The sequence below is a fragment of the Homo sapiens genome, chromosome 13, assembly GCF_000001405.40.
Source record: "Homo sapiens chromosome 13, GRCh38.p14 Primary Assembly".
NCBI lineage: Eukaryota > Metazoa > Chordata > Mammalia > Primates > Hominidae > Homo > Homo sapiens.
Window position 1 is genome coordinate 37,458,548 of NC_000013.11, and position 20,967 is coordinate 37,479,514.

A 20,967-nucleotide genomic window follows, 5' to 3' on the forward strand; every position below is an offset into this window, starting at 1 on the left:
AGTTTTTTCTTAAGCATCTTTAGCTCACATATTCCTTCCTAATGATTGTGTTCTGCCCACAGCGAGCTCGCTTTTCTCCTTTCCAATCTAGATAGCACTGAAGGTCTACACGGGGGAAGAGACTTGCCTGAGCATATATTAATTTCTGATTTTTTGGCACGGAGGTGACTAGTATAACGTCTGTCCTTCTTGGAGTTTAACTTTACACATTTGACATACCCTTGGGTCTCTTATGTTCTTTATTCAGTTCTTTGCTTTGCTACTGGGGCAAATTTTAAACTATATCCTTTTCTAGTTCAGATGGTCAGAGGCTTGGCAGTGTTTGAAAGTCAAATCATCTCAACCTCCCACCTGCCTTTCAGGTACTTCTCACAGATTCTCCATTAAAGTGGCCTATAGTTCAGGGCTGTGTATGAGAAAGCAGAAACCTTACCTTTCTTTTTTCTTTTCTTTTCTTTTTTTTTTTTTTTTTTTTGAGACAGGGTCTCACTGTTACCCAGGCTGGAGTGCAGTGGCGTGATCAAAACTCACTGCAGCCTCAACCTCCTGGGTTCCAGCGATTCCCTTACCTCAGCCTCCCAAGTAGCTGCGGCTACAGGCATGCGCCATCACACACAGCTAAGTTGTATTTTTTTGTAGAGACGAGTTTTACCATGTTGCCCAGGCTGGTCTTGAACTTGTGGGCTTAAACAATCCACTCACTGCAGCCCACCAGAGTGTTGGGATTACAGGCATGAGCCACTGTGCCTGGTCAGGAACCTTATCTTGCCAGTGGATTCGTGTTGTAATCTTCATTGCTAAAGATGAATTTAGCATTTTGTTCACCTTGCCAATCGAACACACCTTTCAAATAAATATGCAGTGCTATGTTATAATGTAGCTGTTTGGCAAATTATCTAGCTTTCATTTTGTATAGGACAGTGGGTAATCTGGATGAATTTTGCAATGAATGTATATTTAGGGGTGTCTCTGTATGTGTGTGTCTGTGTGTGTCTGCGCGCACACACAGACACCCCTAAATACACACACACACACACACACACAGAGTGAGTGCTTGTTGGAAAGAGTGAAAGAAGGAGGAGAGAGAGAGGAGGGAGAATGAATAGGATAAAGTGGTAAGTGCAATAGGAAGTGGAAATTGGGTGAATGAGCAGGGATAAAGGGGATATTTGGGAAATTTGCTCATGTACAATATATTTCCCTCTTCTATTTCCCCAAAACAACTGTACAAGAAATCTGTTTCATTATTTTCCCCAAGTTTTCATCTTGAAAATAAAAAAAAAGAGCACCTGTATACACTTCATGTAGATTTAGTTTTTATGCTTGTGCAACATTTGCTTCTTTCCCAATGCACACACATTATTTGCTAAGCCATTTGAAAGTAATAATAATTTGCAAACATCATGACATCTCAATCCCAAATATTTTAGCATCTAACTTCTAAGAATAAATTCTCCTACACATAAGAAAATTAACAACAATTTGGTAATATAAAATTCTACACATATCATATTCAAATGTCCCCAGTGATCCTAAAAATGTATTTCATAGCTGGTTATTATTTTTTAAATTCCAGGATTCAATCAAAATTTATATCTTGCATTTGACAGTTATATCTCTGTAGTATCTTTTCACCCAGAACAGCCTCCTGCCCACTGATTTTTTTCTATCATTGACTTTTTGAGGAGTTCAGGCTAGTTGTCATGCAGAATGTCTCACATTCTTTATTGTTTCCACATGATTAGATTAAGGTTACACATTTTTGGCAAAAATTGTAGGTGATGTTATATAATTTTTATTGTATAACATAATGACCAGATGTCCAACTATTACTTGGTTAAGTTGTTGAATGCCAGATCTCTTCATTGTAAAAGTACATTTTCTTCTTTCTAATTATAAGTAATTTATGGGTTAGTATCTTGGGTCCATGTAAACATTCTGCCTTCAGCAACCTTTAACTCAACAGTTTGGCATTCTTGTTGAATCAGTTATTACATTGGAGGTTATAAAATTTCATTTTAAAAAACCCTATCATTCTTTCTACATTTATTAGCTGATATTATGCTGCAAAGTAGAATTTCTCTCTCTTTCAACTATTCCTATTGATTTATGGCCTCCCTGTGTTATTTATTATCTATTATCTTTATCATCTTTGATGATCCAATTATGCAAAACATGCCTAGTTGGAGCCTTCAAATTGCAACTACTTTGTATTGTGTTAAAAAAATCACATAACTTAAAATGCACCATGTTAACTATTTTTTAAGTATACTGTATAGTAATGTTAACTATATATCCATGGATTTGCAGCAGATCTCTAGAACTTTTTCATCTTGTAGGACTGTAACTTATTTCCACTGAACAATAACTCTCTTTTTCCCTGCCTCCCAGCTCCTTGAAACTACCATTCTAGTTTCTGTTTTTAAGAGTTTGACTACTTAGATATCTCATATAAGTAGAATCATGCAGCATTTACCTTTTCGTGAGTGCCTTATTTCACTTATCGTAATACACTGGCGATTCATCCATGCTGTAGTAATATTACAGAGTTTTCTTCTTTGCATGACTGAATAGCATTTTACTGTATATATAAACACATTTTCTTTATCCATTCATCCATTAACAGACATTTAAGTTGCTTCTACTTCTTGGCTATTGTGAATAATGCTTCTGTGAACTTAGGTGTTCTAATATCTGAGATTCTGTTTTCAATTCATTTGGATAAATATTAAGCAGATAAATTACTCTATCTTATGGTAATTATACTTTTAATTTTTTGAGAAACCTCCATAATGTTTTTCATAGCAGCTGCACCATTTTGTATTCCCACCAACAGTATATAAGTGTTCCAACTTTGCTAAATCCTTACCACAACTTTTGATTTTCTGTTTTGTGTATAGCGGCCATCCTAAGGAGTATTAGTTAATATCTCACTGTGGTTTTCATTTACATTTCCATGATGATTAGTGAGATTGACCATCTTTTAATATTCTTCATTGGTGATTTGCATAATCATCTTTGGAGAGATGTCTATCCAAGTTCTTTGATCACTTCTAATCAGGTTTTTGTTTGTTGTTGTTGTTGTTGTTGAGTTGTTCTTTTTTTTTTAATTTTATTTATTATTATTATACTTTAAGTTTTAGGGTACATGTGCACAATGTGCAGGTTTGTTACATATGTATACATGTGCCATGCTGGTGTGCTGCACCCATTAACGTGACATTTAGCATTAGGTATATCTCCTAATGCTATCCCTCCCCCGACCCCACAACAGTCCCCGGAGTGTGATGTTCGCCTTCCTGTGTCCATGTGATCTCATTGTTCAATTCCCACCTATGAGTGAGAACATGCTGTGTTTGGTTTTTTGTCCCTGCAATAGTTTACTTAGAATGATGATTTCCAATTTCATCCATGTCCCTACAAAGGACATGAACTCATCATTTTTTATGGCTGCATAGTATTCCATGGTGTATATGTGCCACATTTTCTTAATCCAGTCTATCATTGTTGGACATTTGTATTGCTATTGTGAATAATGCCGCAATAAACATACGTGTACATGTGTCTTTATAGCAGCATGATTTATAGTCCTTTGGGTATATACCCAGTAATGGGATGGCTGGGTCAAATGGTATTTCTAGTTCTAGATCCCTGAGGAATCACCACACTGACTTCCACAATGGTTGAACTAGTTTACAGTCCCACCAACAGTGTAAAAGCGTTCCTATTTCTCCACATCCTCTCCAGCACCTGTTGTTTCCTAACTTGATTTAATGATCGCCATTCTAACTGGTGTGAGATGGTATCTCATTGTGGTTGTGATTTGCATTTCTCTGATGGCTAGTGATGGTGAGCATTTTTTCATGTGTTTTTTGGCTGCATAAATGTCTTCTTTTGAGAAGTATCTGTTCATGTCCTTTGCCCACTTTTTGATGGGGTTGTTTGTTTTTTTCTTGTAAATTTGTTGGAGTTCATTGTAGATTGTGGATATTAGCCCTTTGTCAGATGAGTAGGTTGCGAAAATTTTCTCCCATTTTGTAGGTTGCCTGTTCACTCTGATGGTAGTTTCTTTTGCTGTGCAGAAGCTCTTTAGTTTAATTAGATCCCATTTGTCAATTTTGGCTTTTATTGCCATTGCTTTTGGTGTTTTAGACATGAAGTCCTTGCCCATGCCTATGTCCTGAATGGTAATGCCTAGGTTTTCTTCTAGGGTTTTTATGGTTTTAGGTCTTTGTATATTCTGTATATTAACTTTTTATCAGATATATGGTTTGCAAATATTTTCTCCCATTCCATAGGTTGTGTTTTCACTTTATGGATGGTTTCCTTTGCTGTACACAAGCTTTTTAGTTTGATGCAACTTTACTTGTCTATTCTTGCGTTTCTTTCTTGTGCTTTTCATGTTATAGTCAGAAAATTATTGCCAAAACCAGTGTCTTGAAGCTTTCCCCTATATTTTCTTCCAAAAGTTTTATAGTTGTAGATTTTATTATTGGTTCTTTAATATATTTTGAGTTATTTTTTGAGTTATATACTATAAAGTAGGGCCCAATTTTATTCGTCTGCATGTGGATATCCAGTTTTCCCAACTCTATTTGTTGAAAAGTGTACCCTTTCCCCTTCAGCCTTGGTATACTTGTTTGAGATCATTTGACCATGTGTATGAGTTTATATCTGGGGTCTCTATTCTGTTCCATTGGTCTGTATGTCTGTCTTATACCAGTATCATATTGTTTTGATTGCTGCAGCTTTGTAATATGCTTTCAAGTCAGGAAATGTGAGGCCTCCAACTTTGTTTTTTCTTTCTGAAGAGGGTTTTTACTTTTGGGGGGTCCTTTGTGGTTCCATGTAAATTTTAGAATTTTTTCTATTTCTGTAAAAAAATGAGATTTTCATAGAAATTTCATTGAATTTGTAGGTTGCTTTGGGTAGAATAAACATTTTAACAATATTAAGTCTTTCAATCAATAAACACAGATGTCTTAGTTCGTTTAGTGTTGCTATAAAGGAATACCTGAGGCTGAGTAGTTTATAAATAAAAGTTTTTATTTGTCTCATGATTCTGTTGACTGGAAGACTGGGCTTCTGGTGAAGGCTTCAGGCTGCTTCCACTCATGACAGATGGCAAAGGAGAACCAGCATGTACAGAGGTCTCATGGTAAAAGTGGAGGCAACAGTGAGATGGGGAGGTGTCAAGCTCTTTTTGACAACCAGCTATCCTGGGAAGTAATAGCATGAGAACTCACTCATTACTGTGAAAATGGCACCAAGACATTCATGAGGGATCCACTGCCATGACGCTAACATTTCCCATTAGTCCCCACCTCCAATACTGGAGATCAAACTTCAACACGAGGCTTAGGGGTACAGACATCCACACTATAGCAAGAGATGTCTTTCTATTTATGTGTGTTTTAAATTTCTTTCAATAATGTTTTGTAGTTTTCAGCCTTTTACCTTTTTGGTTATGTTTATTACTAAGAATTGTATTATTTATGATGCTGTTTTAAATGGGATTTTCTAAAAAAAACTTTTTTGGATTGTTCATTTTTAGTTTGTATAAACACAACTCATTTTTATAGCTTGCAGAATTGTTTATTAGTTCTAACATTTCACGTGCGCGCGCACACGTGTGTGTGTGTAGTCTTTAGGAGTTTCTACATGTAGCATCATGTTTTCTGAAAACAGATAATTTTACCTCTTGCTTTTCAATTTGAATGCATTTTATTTCTTTTTCTTGTTTAATTTCTTTGGCTAGGATTGCCATCACTATGTTGGATAGAAGTGGCAAAAGTGGGCATCCTTGCTTTGTTTCCAAACTTAGAGAAAAAACTTTCCATTTCTACCACTGAGTATGAGGTTAGTTTTCACATATGGCCCTTTGTTATATTGAGAACATTTTCTGTTATTTCTAGTTTGTCAAGTGTTTTTTTAAATCATGAAAGGCTGTTGAATTTTGTCGAATTAGTTTTCTGTATGGATTGAGATGATCAGGTAGCTTTTGTTCTTCAATCTGTTAACATGATGTATTATATTGATTTGATTTTTTTATGTTGTACCATCTTTGCATGCCAGGAATAAGTCTCACCTGATCATCTTGTAGTATTTTTTTTATGTGCCATTGAATTTGATTTGCTAGTATTTTGTTGAGTATTATTGCATCAATATTCAGTAGAGATATTGATCTATAGTTATCTTTTCTTGTAATATATTTGTCTGGTTTTAATACCAGGGTAATGCTTGCCTCATAAAATGAGTTTGAAAGTGCTTCCCCCTCTTTAATTGCTCGAAGAGTTTGAGAAGGATTAGTGCTAATTCTTCTTTAAATGTTTGGTAGAATTCTTCAGTGAAAGCATCAGGTCTGGGCTTTTCTTTGATGGGATTCTCTTTATTACTGATTCAATCTCCTTGCTACTTATAGGTTTGTTTAGATTTTCTGTTTCTTCATGATTCAGTCTTTGTAGGCTGCACACTTCTAGGAACTTGTCTATTTCTTCTATGTTATCTAGGTTGTCGGTGTGTGATTGTTTATAATAGTCTCTTATGATTCTGTTTATATATGTGGCATCAATTTTAATGTCTCTTCTTCCATTTCTGGTTTTATTTTTTTGAAGGTTCTTTCCTTTTTTCCTGCTTAGTCTAGTTATGAGCTTGTCAATTTTGTTTATATTTTCAAATAACCAACTCAAATCTTGTCACTTTTATAGTTAGATGTTTATGTGTGTGTATATTTTGAAGCAAAATCATGGAGGCATCTAGTAGTTCTTGTTGCACTTTTGATCATGCTTTTTAAAAATTCTCTTTTACTTTTCTTGAGAAACATCTTATGACAGGGACATGGAATTGTAAAATATAACATGCAAATGTTGAAGACAAAGTAAATGGCTGAAAGCAAACTGATGCTTGATAAAGAATATAGAGCAGCTGTGTGTGATCAGCCATGAATTAATAATAGCATACTATCTGCAACTTCAGAAAACTGCTAGTTTGCAAGTAGTTTCGGTGGATATTTTATCCTGTGGTTTCTCAAACTTATCTCAGTCAGAATTTTTTCAATCCTATGGTGACTAGCTTTATCTGAACCCAAGCCATCTCATACATGGATTATCAGTTTCCCTTCAAATTTCTTGCCATCACCATCAGTCATAACCACTAATGTTCCTTGCCATGTGTTTCCTATAGGTCATACTTGGATTGTGTTATCTCTATAGACTCTTTAAGATCCTGTAAAGACTCTTAAAATAATTTTATCTATTTTGGACACTGCTTTCAAGCTCTTTTGTGACATCTCGTTTTCCAGTTTTTTTTTCAAGACTCTTATGGATCCAATTTGTCCTTTAGTCATTTCACACCCCTTTTGTAGCCTTCTTCCAGAACAAACCCTATCATTTTTCTATTCCAAGTGTTTACTCATGATTTGGAAGTTCTGAATAGGAACTAGATTGTATGGGGCCTTGAAAGACATGGTAATAACTTTGGATTTTTTTCTATTTTTATATATCATATTACCTACAAATCCTAACATTTAGGAAGGAGTAGTTTCTGTGTCATATCAGCTCTCTCCTTATAAGGAATATAACAATAGAACAATAGATAGAACTCTTTGAAATGGAATACAGTCTGGAAACCTTTAAGAAGGAACTACCATGTTTTATCACATTCCAATTAGGTTATATCTGGGCAGCATCCAAAGATAATCCAGGTTTTAAAATATAAGAAGCTGAATATGCTGTTAGTCTAAGTAAAATTGCTGTTTATGATACTTGCTAAAGAAAAAATAAATGATAAAAGCAGATGACATATTCAAATCGTTTAACCCTGGGCTCAAGCTGCATGTGTGCGTATGTTTGTGTGTATGAAAGATGGAGAAAAAGAAGACACAATTGAGTAACTGCTGCTCAGTGAACCACGAAAGACAAAGTCCATATGGAATCCAAATGTTCATAGCAAATATTCACTTTTTTGCTAAGACTGTGCTGAAAATAAAACAACAATAAATAAATTATAGTAATAATGTTAAAAATTAATTAATAATCTTATAATGATAAATTGATATATCAACACTGTTAGTAACAAAAAATATTTCTGATGCTAGTTGTCTTTCTAATTCATCTGGTAATATAATTAACTCCTAGAAAGCAGGGGCAGTGGTTTATAAATGGTAAACTACTGTGTATTTACAAGGAATTATTTATTTTCCATAGCAATGCCTTATATATAATAGGTTCTAAACAAATGTTTTAATTATAATTAAGTGCTTTACATATCCCTAGTGTCTTAGAAATTTTTATTTAATTTAAAAACTAAATTTTATAGATTAAAATCTTTTCTTGGTTCCTGGATAATCAGCTTTATAGTTGACTGTGGATTTTGCATTTTGTGCTTAATACACGTATTACTGTACTTGATACATTGATAGGTTTCATCAGTTGTTCTTGTAAATCTCTCCTTTCTTGCTTCTCGTGATATTCATATTCCTTAAGTTCTCTGCCTATTTTCCTCTGGGCTCCTCCCAGCCAATAACTGCATGGCAGGGATGGTAATGCAGACCTGTTCCTGACAGACAGGGCACTCTTCTGACTTTGGCTCAAAGACTCCCCTTTAGCTTGGCCAAAATATCTGTAGAACTTCACTGCAGTTTTCTTCTTACCCAGACTTCCTTCTTTCCCTCTTTTCTGCACAATGTCAGAACATAATGGTCTGCCAGCTCTCCTGGCCCCTGTGACTTCCCCTCTATTTCATCCCACAGTCTTTTCCATCAGTAGATTTCTTACACTTGGAATCTTCTCAGAGGACCTGGACTGGTATATATACCCACCTGGAACAGGCAGTCTAGCCATCAAAGAGCAGGAGAGAAAACTTACTCTCTCTAAGAACTCTCTTCCAAGAGAAGAAAGGGTCTGGTTGGCCAAGGCACGGCAATTTAATATTCACAAATTTACCAGGCAGATAGATGTGGAGTGAATGAAGCTAATTGAACTGTTTTCAACTAGCCAGTAATTGCACTAATTGAAGACAAAACTGGAGTACTGAAAAAGCATTCCTCAAACAGTGCAGGAGACAAATAGAGTAGGCACACACCCCACTCTATTGATGCATGAATGCTAGAGTCTATCTGTCCCCATTTCCCATATACCTCCCTGAAGAACAAGCTCAGGATTTCACTGATAATGCCAGGATCATATTGCAGCCAAAATACCATTTAAGGTAAAGTAATAAGACATATGAGAGAGCAATCATTTTTAAAAACAAAGAAGAAAATGACATTGATTATCAGAGGGAACAAATCTAATGGTCTAGAAATTAAAAAATGTTTAATAAGCAAAACAAATACCCTTAATGACAAGAAACAATATTAGAGATATGGAGCAGGAAAAAGTTAATAATGAAGAACAACAAATTGGAGACATTGTGTATGAAAGATAAAATACCTTAAATGAAAAACTTAGAAGGTTAAATGGCAAAATTAATATCATTGAAGAATGAATATGTAGGCTGGTAAATAAAATCAAGAAATTGAAGGGATTATAGGGTTGTACAGAGGTGGGAAGTATGAGGAAAAAGTTAAGATGAATAAATAATAAGATGAAAATTATAATAGATTTCCAAAATGACAAAAATGCTGGTTAAAATATTTTGGAATATAATACAGAAATTATCTAAAATAAAAGAATACATAGTCCCAAGCTTGAGTATCAATAAGGATAATCAAGAACATATTATAGTAAAATTATGAGTCTTGAAAAGAAATAGAAATTCAGACAGTTTCCCACAAAATCCTCTACATTCTTGTCACCTCCCCACCCAACTTGAAAGTACTTTCAAAAGAAATACTCTAGGAAGAAGAGGTATAAATCCAGGAGAAATTAACAAGATATGGGAAGTAAGAGATAACATTAAAAATTTACTATTATATGAATTAAAAATTATAGAAAAAACAAAGAAGGAGAAGAAATATCTAAATCACTACAAAATGAGAAATTTCGATGATACCAATGTGGTGTGAGATGAGGGAGAGAGGAACAAAAATAGATGTGAGTGAGACCATGCTGTGGTATTTATGTGGTTCAGGAGCAATACATAGATATTGATAAGCTCAATAAATTGAAAAAAACCTTAAATGTGGTCCTTAATGAATATATATGAGAGATCAGAAGATTACAAGTAGAATACAAAATTTTCAAATGACGGAATTTAACAAATATCTTAAGATACAATAAATAGAAAATAGAAAACAGTTTGGTAAAATAAACTTTATCATAGCAAAGTGGCCCTCAGTAAAAGTGTGAAATCTAATGTTTTGGTTTTTAAAACAGTTCCAGAAATATAATGTTGTATTTTTAAAAATAAGATAATAGGATACTGAAAAGTTGAAAATAATGAAAAAGATGTACTTACCACCAAATTATACCCCAAATACATCCAGGGTAGCAAAGTAGCATTTTTAGAAAACCCAGACAACATAGATTTTACGGGAGAAAGTATCATATGAGGTAGAAAAGAATGTTATACTTTTGTCAAAGGCACAATAAAATAAGATAAGATATCAAAGTTGGGATAGGCAGAATTTTAAGATAATCCCCCCAATGACCCACTCTTATAAAATCCCTTCTCCTTGAGTGTTGTCAGGCCCTGTAATTTCTTTCTAATTAATGGAATATGACAAAGATTAAGGGATTGTGCAGGTGCAATTAAGGCCCAAAATAAGCTGACTTTAATCAAAAGGGAGATCATTCTGGGTACGTCTGACCAAACAGGTTAACCCATCCAAAGAAGTCTCCTACCTTCTATGAATACAGAGGTTCCAACTAGCAGCCTCACTCTTTCTCTGTCAGTCTCTCTTTCCTTTGCTAGCTTTGAAGAAACAGTTTGAGCTGAATTCTATAGTCATAAGAAAATGCAATTCACCAAGGTCCCTAGGTATCTTGGAAGCAGATTGTTCTCTAGTCAAACCTCCAAATGAGAATGTGGCCTGACCATCATCGTCATTTCAATAGTCTTGTAAGATCCTGAGTAGAGAACCTGGCTAAGTTATGCCTGGATTCCTGACCCACCTAATAAATATATATTATTTTAAGCCAATAAATATGTGGTAGTTTCTAATGCATTGTGAGGGTTACTGTTAGGTGTCTACTTGGTTGGATTGAGGAATGCCTAGATGGCTGGTAAGTATTGTTTCTGAGTGTGTCTGTGAAGATGTTGCCAGAGGAGACTGACATTTGAGTTGGTGGACTGGGAGAAGAAGACCCACTCTCAGTGTGGCAGGACACCATCCAATTGACTGCCAGTGCAGCTGGAACAAGGCAGGCAGAAGAAGGAGGGTTAACTTTGTTGTGCTGAGGCTTTTGGCTCTTTTCTTCTTCCTGTGTTGGATGCTTGATTACACTTCTTCTGCCCTTGGACATCAGACTCCAGGTTCTTTAGCCTTTGGCCTCTGACACTTGCACCAGTGGCTTGGCAGGGCATGCAGGCCTTCCTATATACATATAGATAGATATGTATGTGTGTGTGTGTGTGTATGTGTACATATGTATGTATGTAAAAAATCTCCTATTGATTCTGTCCCTCTGGAGAACCCTGATTAATAAATGCACTAATAGATAACCATGACAAAAATTGAACATATATGCACCAAATGTTATACTTTTAAATACATAATGCAATAATTGACAGAAATATAGGGAGAAATGGATAAATCAAGAATGGATGTGAAGAGTTTCGACATGCTCTTCTCAGAAAATAATAAATAAAAAATTTAAAATACAAGCAAAACTATTAAATATTTAAATATTATCAACAAACTCTAATATATATTTAGGGCATGATCTTTTATCTCAAATCCACAAGACCAGATGAATTTCAAAATTTAGATTTTTGTGATATAAAATTAATATAATTCTTATGTTATATACAATACACCATCCTTGATGAGATACAGCATAGGACTTCATAATCAAATATTAGTATTTCTACAGCTAAAGAAGTAGTAAATAAAGACATGAAATAATGGCATCAGTTCAATATAGGTTTTTATCACTAAATCCATATAGGTTAGATTTCCTCACCAAATGAGTTACAAAAACCTTAATTTTGGAGCTTTTTGAGTTTTAGAATTGCAAATAAGGGGTTGCAATTAATGAAAATTGGCCTTGTGTTAGGCTTTTAAAAAAATCTTCACTTTTAAAAAAAGGTCTAAGGAGTCAGCACCAAAGAGACCATGTTTTCTGATCTCAGTGAAATAAAAGTTGAAGTCAGTAACGAAAGTATATCTTTTAAAAACCTCAACATACTCCTATGCCTAGAAAGAAAACAAAATAGTAAATAACCCTTCAGAAGAATAGGAAATTATAAAATATATATGGAATGCACCATAAAAGTACTTATGAGTATATTTATTACTTCAAATGTATTTATAACAATGTAAATAAATTGAAAAATAAGCTAAGAATACACACACACACACACACACACACACACACACAATCAGAAGGGCCACAGATGAAAAAGGAGAGAACAATACAAATGACGACACAACAATCAGAGCAGCATGTGCTTTTACTGAAGGGGGCGTGGAAAATCAACTTCTCACTCCATCCCTCTGACACTGTCCCAGGAGGGAAACTGGAGCATCACCTGTTTCTGCCTGGTGAGGATGAAAGGATAGCTGCCTGGCTGGCTGTGCCAACAATACCTGGAAGGGGAGTCAGGACACTCCTGCTTCTCCAGGAGGGGAAGGGGTGGGATGGGAGATTTGCTCTTTGCTTTGGTGAGAATTCCATTTTCCACAAGGTTGGGGCATGAAGTGTAAAATCAGCTCCCTACTGGGCCTGCTGAACCTGTGATAGGTGAGTGGGAGGAAGCGGTTTTCTCATTGCTGTGTGTGGCTAGAGTAGGGAAGGTATTGCCACAAGGTTTTCTGCTGTTAGGCTTCCTGTTTCCCAGTTCCTTGGCTAGCAGAAACAGGTTTTCTTGGGGATTATCTGGTCAGTCTGTTGCCAGTTCTTGTTTGGAAGCTGCTATAGCACCTCTTCCAGGATGCATGGGAGGCTGCAAGAAATCCAGAAAACTTGACCCTCAAGTACTGGGGTCCCTATGTGTCCGGAATTGGTTCCTTCCGGTGGGTTCTTGGTCTCACTGACTTCAAGAATGAAGCCACAGACACTCGTGGTGAGTGTTACAGTTCTTAAAGATGGTGTGTCCGGCGTTTGTTCCTTCAGATGTTCAGACGTGTCCAGAGTTTCTCCCTTCTGGTGGGTTCATGGTCTTGCTGACTTCAGAAGTGAAGCCACAGACCTCTGCAGTGAGTGTTACAGCTCTTAAAGGTGGCGCATCTGGAGTTGTTTGTTCCTCCCAGTAGGTTCGTGGTCTTGCTGACTTCAGGAGTGAAGCTGCAGACCTTCGCGGTGAGTGTTATAGCTCATAAAGGTGGCGCGTCTGGAGTTGTTCGTTCCTCTGATGGGTTCATGGTCTTGCTGACTTCAGGAGTGAAGCCACAGACCTTTGCAGTGAGTGTTACAGCTCTTAAAGGTGGTGCATCCAGAGTTATTTGTTCCTCCCAGTGGGTTGGTGGTCTCGCTGACTTCAGGAGTGAAGCTGCAGACCCTGCGGTGTTACAGCTCATAAAGGTAGTGCAGACCCAAACAGTGAGCAGCAGCAAGATTTATTGTGAACAGTGAAAGAACAAAGCTCGCACAGAGTAGAAGGGGATCCCAGTGGGTTGCTGCTACTGGCTTGGGTGGCCAGCTTTTATTCCCATATTTGGCCCCAGCCACCTCCTGCTGATTGGTCCATTTTACAGGGCACTGATTGGTCCATCTTACAGAGGGCTGATTGGTCCATTTTTACAGAGTGCTGATTGGTGCGTTTACAAACCTTTAGCTAGACACAGAGTGCTGACTGGTGCATTTTTACAGAGTGCTGATTGGTGCGTTTACAAACCTTTAGCTAGACACAGAGCGCTGATTAGTGGGTTTTTACAGAGTGCTGACTGGTGCATTTACAAACCTTTAGCTAGACACAGAGCGCTTATTGGTGTGTTTACAAACCTTTAGCTAGACAGAAAAGCTCTCCAAGACCCCACCTGACCCAGAAGCTCAGCTGACTTCACCTCTCACCTAGATGGTCAATCTTTATTTGCCTACCTTTCAGGGTCTTCCTAAGCTTGCTTGTGTTTGTCCAGGGATTTTAGTTGCAAGACGAAGGATCTGGGAGGAATGAGGCTAGTCTGTCTTGGAGAACTGGAAGTTTCCTAAGCACTGTGATTTTTATTGTTGAGACATGCGAATGGTCACCTCATTCCCTTTTCTTTGGTACATACTGTTGGAGAAGAGGTTTCAAGATCATGTTGACCTATTGATTTTTCAAATGAGATTTTAGCAGTGTTGCTTCCAGTTCCTGCTATCTCCAGAACCCAAAGATGATTCCAATAAAGAAGGGGACTCTTTTGGAAACAAACGCAGCAGTTACGCTGTACTTAAACCTACCCCTGCTCCCTCTGGTTCCTTCTTACCTTGGAGTGAATTATTTCAAGAGGCTTCTCAACTATCATGCAATGGGACTTATCTGCCTAGCACGGGGTTTCTGAGCCTTAGCACCATTGATGTTTTGGACCAGATAATTCTTTGCTGAGGGGTATGTCCTGAATATTATGGGATATTTAGCGGCATCCCTGCCTCTACCCCTAGGTGGCAGTAGCAATGCCGCCCTCCAAACCTCCCCCACCACGCCTCCTATCCCCTATCCCCCACCCTGCAGTTGTAACAGCCAAAAAGTTTCCAGATGTTTACAAATGTTGGCAAAATTACTGAATGAGAACCACTGGTTTAGCCCATTTGCCAGATACAGCCAACGTGTCAGAATATTATTTGAGTTCAAGGCATTGTCTCTCTTTAATGAATTCTGCAAGTAATAAAAACTCACTTCTACTTTTATCTTGCACATGTATTCTTACTGATTTGGGTAGAGGCAGAATGTGATTATTTACAACAACCCATCTTTATTTTTTGTAGAAAAGGCACTGTTGTGACTGTGATTAAGTTGTTTTAAAAAGTAATTCAATAAATGTAGTGCTCACTGTGTGCAGAATAGAAGGAATGGTTTTGGTACCCAAGAGCACATTCACAGATAATTCCTTGGGGAAGATTTTCCTGGAGAAGTGTATGCAGCCTGGGAGTTAGTGAAAAGAAGAATCTGTTTCATTAGGGGTAGACCTAATTGAAGAAGAAAATGGAAGAAAATAGAAAATTTTATTTCTTTTGTTGTTTTCATTGAGTTTCTTCTCCATGCCCAGTATATGCACCAGATGGAAAGAGGAGATTTGTGTCCAATACTGTAGCTTGATTCCTGGGAACCCCAGAGGCCTCTCTAGTAATCCCTCCTGCCTTTGCTGTTTTCTTTGTAAATTGAATTTTTTTTAATACTTCGAAAGTTTTTTGTGGATTTCATTTTATCCTCCAAAGAATTCTCTGCATACTTATCAGGTATCCTAAAACACAACATCATTCTAAATCAATGTGCTTAAATTGAATAAAAGACAATATGCTTAAAATGAATATGAAGCCATAAATACAAGTCATTCTAAAATGACATGCCTAAATTGATTTTTAAAATGAAACACAACATATTAAAGCACAGTTTGCACATTCTGTACCCTAGAACAAAACTCAGGGCAGAGGCTTAGGCACCTAACAAGCTCTGATGAATGGTAGCTCAGTTTGACGGGACAAATAGCTCCATTTGACAATGACGTTTGGCAATGTAGGTTATTCAGTAGCCCAGGTAGCAGACTGTCTGATATTTCTAAGCAGACAGGCAGGACAAAATTGTGCTGAGGATCTTGACATCAAGCAAAATCAGGCAAGGTCCCTGTAGGAACTGTCACATAACAAATGTAGGATGCATGAACTTGGATTAGCTCCTGGTGGGATGAGAAGATGAAAATAGCAAGATGTTGGAGTAATGGGGTAATAGATAGATTGTAAGGCAAGGTAGCTTCTTTAGAGAAGCCAAGAGCAATAGCCTATGAAGGAAACAAAGTGGGATGTTATTCTGGAAGCCAAGTAAAACACCCATTATTAAAACCGTGTGATTAAAGTCAGCCTATTACTGACTCTTGAGTTATTGAGCTAGAATTTCTTAACTTCTCTACATCTTATTCAAAATTGGATTACTGTTAGGTCCTGAATCAATCAGTACTGAGCTTGTAGTCAAGGGTCATATCACCCCAACCACAGAAGGAGAATTCTAGAAGACTTGTCGAAGAAAAATTGCAAAGGACAAGTTAACCAGGCCAGGAGGGCTTTATTCAAGACTATTGCAATAGGGGGAACTAAACTCTATTGAAACAAAAGGAAAACTAACATAGGAACAGGAAACCAAATACTGTGTGTTCTCACTTATAGATGGGAGCTAAATGATGAGAACACATGGACACAAAAAGGGGAACAACAGACACTGGGGCCTACATGAGGCTAGAGGGTGGGAGGAGGGAGAGGAGCAGAAAAAAGAACTGTTGAGTACTAGGCTTAGCACCTGGGTCACAAAATGATCTGTACAATGAACTCCTGTGACATGAGTTTACCTATATAACACGCCTGCGTATGTGACCCTGAACCTAAAATAAAAATAATCACAATAAAAAGAAACTAAAGGCAAGAGAATTTTCCAGCTCTGGGGTGGGTTAGTGGAAAAGTCCCGGATGACATCAGGAGGGAGGCAGTCAATGTGGTTATCTGTGTTTGCTAATCATTGCTTATTGAAGTTAGGCTCCGGAGACTAGGGCCCTATCATTATTGATGATTACATTTCAAAAGGATGGCCTTCAGGTCCTTGAGGAAGACATTCCTGGCTTGTAAAACTGGCAAGTGGCTAGAAGAAGATTTACATGTCAAAAGGGCATAGAAAGAATTTATACATTGCAAGTTTTCTTAAAGTAAACACTTTTAAGAAAAGGGAGGTCAGGGGCCAATAGTCAGAAAGAAATCTGTCTAAAAGTTTAGTCAAACTAAGGGAAACATTAAGGTCATCTTGGTCAGAGTAACAGTGGGATGGAGAGAGGAACACCCTATTATAATACTGAACAGGAATCTTGTGAAGTAGATATTTTTATTGCTTTTTTTAGACAGAGAAATTAAGTTTTAGAGAGATTAAGAACCTTAAGTTATATAACCAGTCAGTAGAGCAGTCAGTATTTGAAACCAAGTGTCTCAGCTTTTACTGTACAAGGTGGACCATCTTAAATCGTATACATTAAAAAAAATCCCACCTTTGTTTTCTCATCTAAGTATAATGGATAATTTCTGGATATTATATACATATATATGTATTCACACTCACTTTCTATTGCTTAATTTTTTAACATAGTTCTGAGTAGTCTCTCACTCATACTCACGGAATACACTGGTTGAGTATTTATGAATACTTACAAAATACACTCCTATCCAATACAATCTATTATCAGCATCTAGGATATTGTATTTTCTCACTCTATAGATCAGGAAAAGAAGACAATGACTTCATTTGGAAACAATATTCTGATAATATAAGCATGAGTCTCATGATTATCCTGTTGTAGACATTCAATGATGATTGCTCACAGCAGTGCATGCCACAGGAACTCACATAATAGTGTGGATTTCAAGAAAGAAAATCTAACTATACCTCCAGGCAAAATGCTGAAAATAGGACTGACATATGCATTTCGTCTAACATTACTATTGTATTTCATGGGGTAAATGAAAAAAAAAGTGCAGCCAACATTAAGAAAAACTTCCTGCAGGTGTTCTAGAATAAACTGTTTACACATTTTAATTTTGCCCTTTCACAGTTATTTAAATATAAGTAAAGTGAGAGAAAAGCAAAGAACTTCACAATAATCACATGTCGGGTCTAATTTCGTGATACACATGATATCATGGTATCACCTAGTTTGGAAAGAATATCCTAACCAGACGCAGTTGTCTTTGCCCAATATGCTATTCTTAATGATGTCCTGAATTGCAAATCATACAAAAACTTATAATTTCCACAAATATTTTAACAGAATTTCAATAATTAAGAAGGATACATTTGACATTTTAGTTCATGATAAACAACCAAAAGTTATTTCCACTTAATTTTAGATAGATGCATCCAGAACATACCATTTTGTAAAAGTTGCTTTTCCTATATGTAAGCTAAGTTTTATATTTGTTTCTATTTTAGGTGTCAGTACTTATATAAATCCTTTCTACCTCTGACAGGAAATTTTCTACTTAATCCATTTTGTTAATTCATAATGCTTTAATGAAATGGCTGTAGTTTTGATGTTTTTGAGTGATCATACTCCATTTTTGTATACTTGCTTTTGACAAGAAACATTGGGGTATGTGGCCTGTAGCTTCTTCCATTCTTTGATCTAGTCAATTAGCAGCTTACGTACTCATAAACTGTGGCACAGTGCTGCTCAGGAGCTGCCAAATCCCCAGGCTCAGATTAGATGCCATTGTCTCAGTGCTCACGAGAGAGGAAAAGCAGAGGAGCTGTGAGCCATGGAAGAAGCACAAATGCCGGAGGACAGGCTGGCTGTTGAGTCATTAGCCATACATGGACACCCACAATAAATAAAGGAATAAGATGGGATTGATCTAACCTCAGAGGATTAGCTCATAGTTAAATCTTGTTTGCACTTTCTGTTAAAATATAGACTATTGCATTTTAGAAATAACGTTTATTTTAATAATGCTGATATGATTGAGAAGACTGGATATAGAGAGAAGAGATGGAAAACTTCACTTTCCCCAGGAACAGCTTTCATGGTCATAAAATAAAGAGTTATGATGGAGTTACTTCAAAGCCACTTCTAGTGTCCAACTTTTATCATTTTATGTCTATAATGATTTATACTTATGTACAAAGATACATCTTATAAGGAATAGATAAAGTCAGAATCCGAGCACTGATTTTTTTGGCATATTGTTCATTTTTCTCACTCTACCTCTGTTTTACCCCCAAATTTCCCTTCTCTATTTCTCAGTCTTTCCAAATACTGAACAAACCTTCCATTTCCTTGTCAGTCCTGGCACTGAAGAAGATCACTGTACTCAGAAAATTCTGTCGTACAGCGTTCCTTCCAGAAGGGACTCTGAATTGGAGTTCACTTAGCCTATGTCTCAGTCAATGTCTGGGGTGTTGCTATTCTTTAAAGTACTGCTAACAGCATGATTGAGGAATCATTTAAATATAAATATTGCATTTATAAATGGGGCTCAGTGTGAACTTTTAATTGTTCACAGACAGATGCACACACAATTCCAATATCACTTTTACAATGAAAATAAAAGGCAGAAAATAGAAACCGTAGAAGTGTCATGTTTGTAAAGAATAGAATGCTGACCTCAGTCGATCTGCCTGCTTTGGCCTCCAAAAGTGCTGGGATTACAGGCCAGCCTAGCCAACATGGTGAAAACCTGTCTCTACTAAAAATACAAAAATTAGCTGGGTGTGGTGGTGCATGCCTGTAATCCCAGCTACTTGGGAGGCTGCGGCAGGAGTATTGCTTGAACCTGGGAGGCAGAGGTTGCAGTGAGCCAAAATCGCGCCACTGCACTCCAGCCTGGGTGACAGAGCAAGACTCTATCTCAAAAGGAAAAAAAAAAAAAAAAAAAAAAAAAAAAAAGAATAGAATGCTTAGCTTTGTATTGTTTTAAATAAATAATTTACTATTTTTATTACTATATTTCAGTCAATTTTATCTCAGTTTTACTTATTTTAGCATTTGTTATCTGAGTACAGTGTTAATCTGAGTACAGATTACAGTGTGGAATCAATTTGGCATCTTTAGTTTGGCTAAAAGGCACATACATGTTGAGTGTTTATTTAGAGTTTGCTGTGGTTTGAACGTTTGTCCCCTCCAAAACTCATGTTGAAATGTAATCCCCAATGTGGCAGAATTGAGATGTGGGATCTTGAAGAGATGATTCATGGATTAATGGATTGATGGATTATTATGGGAGTGGGACTGGTGGCTTTTTAATAAGTAGAAGATAGACCAGAGCTGACATGCTCAGCCTCCTTTCCAGGTGATGTCCTGTGCTATTTTGGGATTCTGCAGCGTCCCAAAAGCAAGAAGACCCTCACCAGGTGTGGTCCCTCAGCCTTGGATCCTCACCTCCATAACTGTGAGTAATAAACTTATTTTCTTTATACATTACCCAGTTTCAGGTATTCTGTTATAAGCAACAGGAAGCAGACTGAGATAGGGTTCATTGACTCTGATGCATATGTTTCTTCTTTTTATCATTGTTTGTATTGTAAACAGAGCACCCTTTTGCTGAGCTACTATTCTATACTGAATAAGGGAACTATTCATCATGTATTTTTAATATGACTTTGCCATTGGCTTGGCTCAATGAATTCACGTATTGTTTTTGAATTGCCTTTCTTTTTACTACTTTCCTGAAATTTCAGCAACTTCTTATTTAGAAATTAGAATAGGGCATAAATCAACACTATGAAATAAATTTAAAAGAATAACTTAGGTTCATAAATCAATATCAATGTTATCCATGAAATCAATTTAAAAGAATAACAGGTTTAGAGTGGAAATATGCCTGTCTCTCTCTCTTTCAATCCAAGGAAGTTGTCAAATCCTGGATCTTCTACATTTCCTTGTATCCATCCATCTCCTCTATTCTTCTCCTACGCCTCTCTCAGGCTTCCTTTGCCTATTATTTAGGTTAGTATAGGGAATATCCAAGCTATCTCTGATTTCAAATTTTTCCCTTCCCATTCATTCTAGATAGCTGTCAGATTAATGTTTCTGGATACCTCTGACTTACTAGAAAACCATCAATGGCTCACCATTTCAAAATAAATAAAATCTATGCAATTTAGCCCAATATTACAGACCCAAATTTGTCTTTTACATTTGCTTCTCTCACTCTCTTCCTTCAGATTTCTACTGCATTAGAGAAGCCAGATTAACTGGAA

The 20,967-nt window shown here is 36.6% G+C and overlaps 1 long non-coding RNA gene across 1 annotated transcript in view; it reads left to right on the forward strand.

The window, feature by feature from the left end:
* LOC124903159 (uncharacterized) overlaps nt 1-20,967 on the forward strand; it is a 128,664-nt gene that overhangs the window by 96,378 nt on the left and 11,319 nt on the right. Inside the window, exon 3 of the long non-coding RNA XR_007063761.1 lies at nt 20,058-20,156. This is a non-coding gene — a long non-coding RNA (uncharacterized LOC124903159). The remainder of the gene's footprint in view (nt 1-20,057; nt 20,157-20,967) is intronic.